General features: G+C 31.8%; 1 protein-coding gene across 4 annotated transcripts in view, besides 1 other annotated feature; it reads right to left on the reverse strand.

The window, feature by feature from the left end:
* Positions 217 to 12,010, reverse strand: part of PCLO (piccolo presynaptic cytomatrix protein) — a 408,873-nt gene continuing 397,079 nt past the window's right edge. For all 4 annotated transcript variants that reach the window (XM_017012006.3, XM_047420211.1, NM_033026.6 and 1 more), the window contains 3 exons: positions 7,564 to 7,698; positions 6,844 to 6,989; positions 217 to 4,920 (listed from right to left, as the gene is read on the reverse strand). In XM_017012006.3, coding sequence (XP_016867495.1) covers positions 4,780 to 4,920; positions 6,844 to 6,989; positions 7,564 to 7,698 — 422 coding nt within the window. In that variant the 3' untranslated portion in view covers positions 217 to 4,779. The remainder of the gene's footprint in view (positions 4,921 to 6,843; positions 6,990 to 7,563; positions 7,699 to 12,010) is intronic.
* Positions 6,116 to 6,726: an enhancer, noted in NCBI's record as "NANOG hESC enhancer chr7:82389227-82389837 (GRCh37/hg19 assembly coordinates)". NCBI's record gives its function as "activates a minimal SCP1, AML or CMV promoter by ChIP-STARR-seq in naive H9 embryonic stem cells {active_cell/tissue: H9 hESC(naive)}" and the evidence as "EXISTENCE:reporter gene assay evidence [ECO:0000049][PMID:30033119]".

Here is a 12,010-nt window from a genome sequence, read left to right on the forward strand (position 1 = left end):
CCTGGATGGTGGTTATAAGAATGTCTGACATACAATCATTTATGAAGCTATGCATTTGTTTAATTCTGTTTTCTGTATCTCTGCTATATTTGAAATACAAATTTAAAACTGGGCTAGTGAATATATTTACGATACAATTTTCAGAGATGTCCTGAAAAGTTTTATCTTTATATTAAGGATGAATTTATCAAGTTGATAAACACAAGAAGTCAAAGGTGATATTTTCAGTATTTATTAGTAAGGCTGAGGCAACAGCCTTTATACGGCACAGTTTACATAAGTTATCAAGATACATCTTGTATACAATCACAAAACCAAGACATATTTTTACATAGAGTAAAACTCAAGACGGATTTACAAGCATTTTTTTTTAAATGCAACTCTCATGTATTTTCAGGTCAATTTATACAGTCCTTAGTCCAAGAATTTGCATTTGTCCATTAGATTTTCCAAAGGGATTTGGGTAAAACAAACAAACAAAAAAACACATTAGCAAATCACCAACATGGCATGCAACATATAGTTAGAAACAAGACATATCTTCAAGTACTTTAGTTTTTATTTCAAAATCAGTTTTATTAAGATGTTTATGTTTTCAGACAAGAAAATTTTTTCTTAAACCTCATATGTGTTTTTAGGATATTAGCACACACATTAATCAGTAGTGGGAGCACCTGAGCACGTCACCAAACAAATATACAGACACAATCAAACAATAATCATATTCACATGCTAAATGCCAAATGAAATTAATATTTCAACTTCGTCTACTTTACCAAGTGTATACTTATGTACAAGGTAATGCATTAAGAAAATGCTCTCAATCTACCTATCAGATAAAGAATTTGATTAAATAATTTTGGCCTAATGGATACCTTTAATAATAGAACATGAAACATACAGAAAACAGCATTGTATCATATTCAATGAGAATATTTGTTTCACTCATTCATTACTGTATTACACCCAAGGCAAGTAATTATTAAATAAATAGCTCATAATTATTCATTGAGTCTTCTTTCACTTTCATGTCAAGCTCAAAAAGAGGGAAGGAAGATCACTTCTGTCACACATAACACATATATAGCTGTAGTTGGCTGATTTTGGAATATTTGACATTGTAGCAATGAAAATAAGTTTTTAAAAATATTGTTAGTTATGATTTAAATAATAAAGTAAAAAAATACTATAAACATCTTTATGATATTTTAATGAAATGAAGCATTGATCAAATAATTTCTAATAAATTGGGCACAATATAATATATACTTTTATTTTACTTCACATCACCACCACCGCTAATATCACTACTGCTACCACCACTATCATTACAGTCATTCCTATAATAAGAATCAATATCAGCTGGTTACCAGCTATAATATTCCCACAATATGACTATTTAAATGTGTGTGATCCACAAAATTAATTCCACTGGTATGCTGAAAATATGCGTTTAATTAGTGTAATTTATTAAAATATGGGCAATATTAAAGAGTAAAGATAACTGATGCCCCTTAGTCTTGATATTTTAAACTGAAATATAAATAAAGAGTTCAGAGTCACCAAAAATCTTCTTAATCTTAAGTAAAAACAGAGAAAACACCAACTTCGTGCTACTAGGGTTATTTGTGTCTGTAATGACTATTCTATATTCCCTGTCTTTTGTAAAAAATTCACTCTGTGCTTTTGTTTCTACAGCCGAAAGTTTCTTTAGGACCAAATTTGAAACCAAGAAGCAACATCAGTCTCTGATGACTCAATGAAATTGTGGGAAAAACTGAGATGCTCTTCAAGGTAAAAGTGCTGTAATTGGAGTAATTACGTATTATATAGAGATTACAAACTCTGTCAGTATTAGAATAAAAAAAAGTTAATTCCAATAAAATGAAATAAACTAAAGAGTGAAAAACCATGTACTGTGATATGTACAAAAAAGTAAAAAACACCAAGAGCCCTATTTGCAATAAAAAAGAAACAGTTTTGTTGTAAGAAGGGTAGTCAACATCATTCAGAAGAAACGCATTCATATAAGGATCAGTGTTGCATAGAATAATTCCAGTACAACCTAGAAGTTTGGTCAGCTGCAAACTTGGCACACTGGCAGGATCTTATGCTCTCTGAAGGGGAATGCTGGTGCACAAAAAGAAGCCCTGTTGTCAACTCTGCTGATTGACCTAGCCCCATCGCTAGTTCCTTGGAACGGAGGGGCTTCTATAATGGAAAGACTCCTACGCTTTCAGGTTAAATAGCTACCAAAGAGATAATCTTTGTTTTGGTGATCCCTCCATTTATATTATTCTAAAAGAAATTGCAACTGGAATGAAGAAAGCTAACTGGTCATACAAACTCTCATGCATACCTATGGATATGAGTGGCTGCAAAAGAGGATCAGAGATGAGTCAGGGTTTTCTTTTAAGGGCAAATACCAGAGCCTTTTTATGTCAGAAGGAGATCTCCTTGGACCTTTTCTTCCCCAATTATGAGTGATGATTATAGGCTTCTTCAAGTGCTAGCTTCTGCTGGAAATATCCATGGCAACCATCAGCAGATCTAATAGTTTCTAAAAATAAAATACTAGCAATATAATGTCTTTGATGATTCCACTCTCCCATGCTCATTTGAGAGCAATGTCAATGGTAAATGACATTGTATTGTCAGTGGAGGGGGATTAAAAAATAGAGGGAAGAAAAGTTATGGTTATCTTTCTCAGTTTGGGGAAGATCGAATTTGTATTCTGAAGTCATATATATATATATATATCCTGGGATATATTAGAAATTCTCTTATTTTTAGTGCTTTACAGTCCTCTCAAATTTAGAGCATTTTTTCTTTAAAAATGAGAAAATTCAATATCCAACCAATATCTAGAGTTGGTTTTCTCTAATTCCACTAACACTTCACCCTTAAATAAAGCAGCAGGTTTTAAGCTCAGAATGCTCTGAGAAGCAATTTGATTTATTTCTTTTGGGTGGAATATAGGACTAGGGTAAGACCAGCATTATTCATTTAATTTGGGATAGCAAAATTTGCATTTTCATGTAATTCTTCACCTTTAGTCAGGTTAAAGTTTATATTTTAAATAAAAAATAAGTTTTGTGGCTAATTTACTGCTTTTATCCATGTCAATCCTTGCCATTGGTTTAGATGATGTTTTTCACATATAAAATTTGAGAATTAAAAAGATATGTAATAATTATTCCTCACTTCTGTGTATAAAACTATATTTGGAAATGTGCTTTCATCTTTCATGGATCATTGATTTATCATCACAACATCTCATTTGGAAGGTTAAGAATATATAATTGTTTTTATCCTATAGATAAGAAAACTGGGGTAAAGTGAGTGTAAGTGACATGTGCAAAGTGACACAGTCAGTGGTAGAACTAAGACCAGAAGACAGGCTTTTATTCCCTGCTGAGTGTTTTTTCCACAACTTCACGTTACTTCCTTAATTAATAATGCTGATAGAGAAGAGGGTGCTTCATTTTAAGACTTGGACATTAGTTGTTTTATTCATTATTATTAAAATAGCTCAAAGTATATTTTAATCTCAGGTAAATGTTGACTTTTCACATATTTTCCCAACATTGATGAACTTGATCACTGTGATACTGTCACTAAAGTAAGAAAATAGAGCACTAGAGAGAACTCGAGTTTAGTGTCATGTTTTCATGATACAATCAGTAAATGAATTAAGTCATTAAGGAAAAAAGCATAAAATATTATGAAATGAGGATCCATTTAATTAATCAATGTCACAAGATTAATATGGTTTGTTTGCCAGAGAAAGAATTTTCTTTCTCTGTCAATGCATCGCTCAACAGAAAGGAAATGTGCAGGATAATACATTTATTTGCAGTTTCACAAAGAGTAAGTTATCATGCTTCCTAGAACATATCAGTTTACTCTAGGTCCTTTGGTACATAGACTGAAGATGTCTTGGCTTAATGGTAAATTATGAAGATTTTGATGGTTTCAACCAAAATTCCAATATTTTATGGGGCAACATTCTTCTTTGTTAGCCAGTCATAGTTTTATTTCTAGATAAATTCAATTTTATTTCTACTGAGTATTATCTTCACTCTACCTTGTTTCAAATGATACAGAAACAAATGTGCTTTTACCACATGGATTCCAAAGTCAGTGTTGTATATGCTTGTAACATTTAGACACAGAGAAAACTGGTAAAATATGGCCTGAAAGCCACAATTTCTACATCTCCTCTTCCATTTTCCCTAAGAACACAGCCACCTCACTTCCAGCCCTGGACACATACTGTAGGTATATCTTATGTCAGAATCTGAAAGCAGCAAGTTGTCTGAATAGAAGACGATGAAGGAAGATTTTTGAAGTTTTGAAAACTGAGATTTGTTACATCAGTCCTTTCCTTTCAACCAAGGCTCCTTTGCATAAAGAATTACCTTTGTGCTGCATGAAAACCACATTAATCTTTGAGCCTGTCTTAAGCTATAGCTCAACTCTACTCAAAGATTATTGTCTTAAGTAATCAAAATTTGTTTCACAGTTTCTCTTCACAGCCATGGGAAATTCAAGGTCTCAGAACTCCATTCTTCTTGTTTTCAGTATGTGAACTTTTTCAGTTGAATATCTTTGTGTGATCCACAACAATAAATGTACAAGGTCTTAAGTATGTTTTTGCTTGTTGTTCCCACTCTTATGTTTGCCTCTCAAAACTTAGCTTTGTACAATAGTATTCAACTATAGTCTTGATGTGAGGCTATTTAGAGCAGTTTCTATACCCTGAGAAGACATGTTTCTTCAATGCGTTTGAGTAGGACTGACCAAAAGTTTGTGCCAGTTGACTATTCTTTTTCTGAGATCCACTTTGTCAAGCCAGATACAGGCTTCACCAATCAAGGTCTTTTTCATAAACTTCCCTCCATTGGAGAAAAGTAAAATCTAGAAAAAATAGGCAAAAATAAACATATTTAATTTATACACATATACATGTGTATAGTTTTCAACCTTTTTTAAGGACATTTAATCATCAAAGACATAGCACGAAAGAGGGTGACGCTGAGTAGAAGTAGCAGACATATTTGCAGGAGAACTGATAACCAAGGTGTTCTCAAAAGATTTGCATGTAATATAAATTAATTCACATCAACATTTGTATTATTCTGCAAAGGAAAAGACACATTCTGAAGAATGTGAGAATACTAGGTAAGAAATGTCTAACTAGCTAATTCTAAGTTTATGCTTAAACTGATGGAAAGTTTCACAAAATAACTTTGCCAAATAATTTTTTACTAGTTTACACAAATCCAAATCAAATAAAAGATTATCTGTATTCTGAATAAATAAATATAACTTCACAGAGCATTGTTTATATTTAGTATGAAATTTTCTGGTGATTTTACTATAGTATGTACTTCCAAGCTGTTTTCTGAAGTCATATGCAGAACTTATCACAAGGGTCTCAAACTAAAGAATTTTTTTTTTTCATTTTAAAGATGAGTTGAAGTAAAGAGAGCATTCAGTGGAGCTAAGCAGTAATCCTTGTAATTTTATTCTCTTTTTCTCTTCAGAATCTCCAGTTATATAATTTACCCTTATTCCTGGCGAAAACTTTTATGCTTCTTACTTCAAAATTTGTACTTCCAGATATGACTATCTCTTCTGGTTTCTGGTTCAGGGATTTCAAGTGACATTGTATATTTTCACTCAAATCTCTGCCTTCTTATCAAATTCATTTCGGACAAACTATTGGTCTTTCTCTATTCCAAATTCCCTGACTACGTAATCTCTGTGAAATAATACATTTGTTGACACAGACTTCAGAGTGTCATTTCACATTTTTATTCCCTTCCAGTCTAATATCAGTTAATCTTCTCAATACATTTTTGCTTTGTAATATCTTTTATCTTTGTCTCTAATTCAAACCTTTAATTTCCTGTACCATGGTCTCTTCCTATATTTTTTTCTCTTTTCTCATTCCCCCATTTCTACTTTTATTCCTTGTCTCTATATCTACTAAAGACGTACTATGTGCAAAGCATTGTGCAGGCTGTAGGCAATGAAAATTAGTCCTTGCCCTAGAGAAACTGATAGCATAGAAGCAGTGACAGGTAAGTACAGATATTGTTGTTACAAGACAGACTGGGATTGATAGCCTACTAATAGAAGCAAAATGCTTTGTGAATAAGGTAAGATGAATTATACCCAGGGTCATCAGTAAGGAGATGAAAGATGTGGAGTATTGTGATAGATGGCGAGAGTTGGAAAAGGGAGCTTTGAAGGGGAGAAAAAATATGAGCAAAGGATTGGAGGCTTAACATGACTTGAAAACAGTCTGTTGTGACTTGGAGTATTAAGTGAGTGGAAAAGTATCCAAGGAGCTGAGACTAAGTCAATACAATTAAAACTCACTTTGGAGGACTCTGAATGATTCAAGATAATGGTGAGTAATTGAAGAGCTTTAATGTAAACTAACCAGGGTTTTAAAATGTAACTCTGGCAGTGCTGTGATGAAATGAACTAAAGGGATAAGGCATAAATGACAATAGGCCAGGTAAACAGATGAAATGATTTGAATAACAAAGATGGGGGCCCAAAAAGGTTTAGTGGCAGTAAGCATGGAAATAAGAAGAATCTATGTAAAATAAACTCCACAGACAGGGTAGAGAAGGCTTGGCAGCTGATTGGATGGGGTGAGTGGGCTGTGGAATTCTAAAAGATTCCTGGGGAGATACTGCTGAAAATTAATTAACTTCTCAAATGTCATATAGTGTATGATCAGTATATAAATATTGAATAATGGGATAAAAATAAATACAATATGAATGAGAAGTTTCAAATATGAACTACATAATACAGAGCTACCTGAAGAGAATGTCCTGCAGGACTTAGACTGAATCGAAAAGTTTCATTAAACGAAGGCTCTCGATCATGTCTGCATACTCTTGTTTTTTTCTTGATCACCTTTTTTTGGGTAGAAATATTCATCACATATATTTTCACATATAAATCTGAAAATAAGAATTCAGCCCATTAAATTCCATCAATCATATAAATTTCTATTGAAAGAATTATAACTGTATACTGAGAGTTCTTGTTACATTTTGCACAAAGCCAGCAGATTGTAAACGATTTGTTTCAGATAACATAAAATGATTAAAAGATATGTCTTTTTTTTTTTTTTTTTTTTTTTTTTTGAGACAGGGTCTTACTCTGTCACCAGTCTGGAATGCAGTGGCCAGATAACTCACTTAACTTCAAACTCCTGGGCTCAAGTGATCTTTCTGCTTCAGTCTTCTACATAGAGGGACTACAGGCAGGAGCGACCACACCTAACTGATATATCTATTTTTCTTAACAATTTAAAATTGTCCTTCTGTTGGCTAATGAATATAACACTATAATGTATATGTTAAAATATCTAGCTAAAAACTGAAAGAAAACAACTTGTTACATATGTTAATCAGTTATTTTTTCTGACATATTTGGTGTACAGTTCAAATTTTAGTTAACATTTTCCAGAATATGTAAGACACATCCCTAAAAAAATCTAGATATATTGATGATTATAATAGAATTAGATACCTGGTAGATGATCAGGAGACTTAAATTTGTATGTAATATTTCTGCATTGGAGAATTTCAACTATTAGTTGTTCACCATCTGTCTTCATTTCCTTCTTCAATGCAATCTTGATTTCTCCCATTACCTGAGTTTTAGCTGGGAGAATTTAATAAAAATGCAAAGAAGTATGTAATGCCATATATGAAATGTTTAGTTCAGTAATTCATTCATACATTCATTTACTCTTTATCAAGTGCTAAGTATCTTATGACATCCTAAGTGCTAAATATCTTATGACTGTATTTTATTCATCTGTATATTTATTTACAGGTGAATAAATTAATTCACAGATGAATAAAATACACAAAATTTATCACAGATTCATTTATTCAGATATGAATAAAATACAGTCCATGCCCTTAAGCCTGTAAAGAGTGAAGAATCTTATGGGTAGACTGATAAATACACAGATGCTTACACCAAAGTATGTTAGACATAATGATAGCTTAGCAACAAGGGAGGTATGAAGAAATGCATGTAGATAAATTTTACTCAACTGTAGACTTTAGGACAAAAGAAGTAATAGATATGACTGTATCAATTCACATAGATATGACTCTATCAAGGGATATGACTCTATATCAATTCATGCGTTAATTCACTTATTCATTCTCCAACAAATATTTTATTTCCCACCCTACTCTGTGCTAAGCACTCCACTAGGAAGAGTGAATATAATGATAAGCCAAAACGTGCGTGCTTATTGGTTTCATGCTTTTTCTATCTATTGGGAAGAAAACCATTCATCAGATATTTTCATCAATAAATATATAATTATAAAAAGAGGAAAGGTTCTGAAGTATAGAAGTATGGTTTCAATGGAGGCTAAAACAAAGGAGCAGATGCTTAGGGAGGTGCTGCTTAAGCTGAAACCAGAAGGATGAGAGTTAATTAGGTGAGACGGATTAGGAAGGACATTCCAGAGAGAAGGAACAGTGTGTTCTCAAAAGGAAATATAACATGAGAAATAAATGCCTATGTGATAGTAACATATTGTAAATAGAAGCCATGTTAAGAATTTGGTTTTTCTGTTTAGATCTCTAGGAATCCATTAAAGGTCTTTAAACATGGCTGTAGATAATTTATTCTCAAACATTTTGATCTCAGGAATTCTTTACACTCAAAAAAAATTGACAGTCTTCAAAGAACCTTTGTTTATGTGGATAACTACCAATATTAGAAATATAAAATTTCTAATTTTTAATTAAAATTGAAAAGTAGATATTTAAAAATATTTATTAATCAAATCAAATGACAACTGCTTTAATGAAAATGTTTTAAAGAACATAATCATATTTTCCAAACCAAAAAAAATAGAGGTACTGTTTTATATTTTTTCAAATTTCATTAGTGCATGGCTTAATAGAGGACAACTGCATTCTCTTTCTTTCGCTCTCTTTCATTTCTTTCTTTCTTCTTCCTTCTGTAGAGATGGAGTCTTGCTATGTTGCCTAGGCTGTTCTCAAACTCATGGCCTTAAGCAATCCTCCTGCCTTGGCCTTACAAAGTGCTGGGATTACAGACATGAGCCATACTGTACCTCACTTCTTTTTTCCTTTTAGAGATAGGGTCTCACTCTGTCGCTCAGGCTGAAGTGTAGTGGCCCGATCATGGCTCACTGCAGCCTCAGACTTCTTAAGTCAACCATTGTATTTTGGTATGTGGCATAAGCACTTTAAGAATTTTTCCTGTTTAGTCACATGAATATTAGAAAGAAATGCACTGAAGGATTTAGATTTTTAAACAGTTGAACTGATTCATCGAGGATACCCTTAAGTGAAACTGGCATTTTTTTCCCTGTAAGAGCATGTTGGTAAATAAATAAAGTGTCTACTAGCATAGTTTCTTGCCACTGCCTTAATAGGAAATAAGTCCCTAGCACTTTCATGCACTATTACTTTGCACTACCAATATAAATATCAACCAAGTGAAAAAGGTAAGTAATTTCAGCGTATTTTGAAAATAATTTTGACTTTATGAACTTAAAAATCTCGCGGAACCACGGAGGTCTGTGAACCACATTTCGAGAATCAGTGTTATAGAGTATAGTTGAGTAATTTTTGAAAGAAAATGAAATAACAAAACACTGTGAGTAAAGTTGTAAAAATATTAGGCTGTAGTTATTTGATCATTTTGATTTAATTTTGTCACATTTTGGGGATATAATTGATAGATGTATTCTTTTCTGGATTAAGCAACTGTTTGATGAAATTAGCTTAAAATTTGTAAGTCCAGATATACCCTTACATGTGGAAAAATATCTATAACATATCTCTCCTCGCTCTCTTCCTCTGTCAAAAAACTAATACTGTAGTCCAAAAATTGACAAAATTATCTTCTATAAGTTTTATAAACTAAAATACAAATCTTCCAGAGTTAAATAATAATTCATGAGCCAATGATTAGAGATAGTTCATAGTAGAGAGATGTTTACTTTCAAGAAACTCCAAGCATAAATAAAAGATTTTATATCCAGCTAACCTGTCTTTCAACTATCAAGCCTACAATTTTAAGCATGAAAGAACTCAGGGAATACTTCACAAAGTTTGACTCTCTCAGAAATATATAAGATAAATTTCATCAAATGAAAGAGACAACTAGAGAAACTTCAGCAAAGGGACTGATGGTAATTATTCAATATAATTAATTGTAGAACTAAGATTGAGCAGTACATAGGTTGGTGGAAGAATAGTATGGAAATGTCATATTTATGACAAAGTATAAAGTATGAAACTAAAAATTAATGAATAAAGAAGGGAGAGAGAAAGAGGAAAGCAGAATGGGATTACTGATTTTTGTATAGGTAATAGGTAACAAAGGATGCCATTTAAAACTAACAAACCAGGCAGTCAATGGTCATGTAAGAGGAACAGGAGTTAGACATTATAAAAACTATAAATAAAAGGAAAACCTTTAGAACAAAGATACAAAGCTTTCTTAATTCCAAAAGAAAATTAAAAAACCCAGAGGCCAAGTGGAGAAATATCATCAATATGACATAACATACACAATGATTATAAAATAAAATGCAGAGTTGAGATTAAGCATATCTATTATATCACTAAACATGAGTAAGTTTTAGCTAGTCTATTTTAAAAATTGTTTCAGATTGGCTCACAAAGCAAAGCCTAGTTCTATACTATGTACAAGAAATACAACTAAAATCTGGTTTTATTCCAAATAGTAAAAAATACAGATATTGGCAAGTATGTCAGGCATATGGAATCAATAAGAGTGCAGAGGTTGAGATCTTATTATCAGATAAAACAGAATTCAGGCCAAAATGCAGCAAATAAGACAAAGAAAGACACTGTATGAAACTAGAAATCCATAAATCATAATGAAGACACAACAGTTATCAATATCCGTGTACCACTTATGTAAAGTTGAAACTACAAAGTAAGATGCAAGAATATAGAGGATTTGAGGAGTAAAGATGATAATAATGCAATATTAACAGTGTAAGACAAGGCAAGTGAACTAAAAAACTAGATAAAATATTGAGACACTATAATCAATAAAGTAGATCTCACGGATATGTATCAAACACTATACCCTGATAATAATGAATATACCTTTTTCTTAATCATCTATGGAACATATTCAAAAACTGATCATATATTGAGTTACAAAGAAGACATTAGTGGGTTCTATAAAATGAAGCTATTATCAAATTATGTGATAATACACTCAATGGCTTTCAACTAACCAACTTTTGGGTGAATGGAAAAATATATGAAAAAATACAGAAGTTCTGAAAAATAATGGTAATAAAACACTATATATCAGAATCTGTAAGAGTTAAAGAAATGATCACATGAAAATAAATAGCTTTAAACTCCTGTATCATTTCAAGTAATGATTAGAAAATACACATATTCTTCTATCTGCTATCAATAAAAAAATAAAAAATACAATTGGTTTAAATTCCAACTCAAAATCTAGAAAGGAACAACAAAATAAAATAAAAGTAAGTACAAGGAAGGAAATAATAAAGATGTCCACTAAAATTAATAAAGTAGGGAACAGAAAAAAAGTAGATAAAATTAATAAATCAAAATTCTGGTACTTTGAAAAACCCACCAACAAAATAGAAAAATTAATAGTGAATTTAGTTAATGTCATGTGGCTTCTTAACATTACTATTTAGAAATGACATGTGTTCTCTTAACTGTAACACTACTCTCCTCTCAAAGATTTGGTATAAAATGTCTGGTGTCATGAATATACCCTAATACTAATTGGCTCACATTTTGTTTATACATTCTTGACAGATGGGAAACTACAAATCTCACCTTATATGTTTCTTTGAATTTGTGAGGGCAAATTCAGTTCTGGTCACTTAACCATTTTAAATAATCATAAACAAGTCCATTAAAAATCTATCTTTTTTTAAAAGGAGCTTCAC

The sequence above is a fragment of the Homo sapiens genome, chromosome 7, assembly GCF_000001405.40.
Source record: "Homo sapiens chromosome 7, GRCh38.p14 Primary Assembly".
NCBI classification, from domain to species: domain Eukaryota; kingdom Metazoa; phylum Chordata; class Mammalia; order Primates; family Hominidae; genus Homo; species Homo sapiens.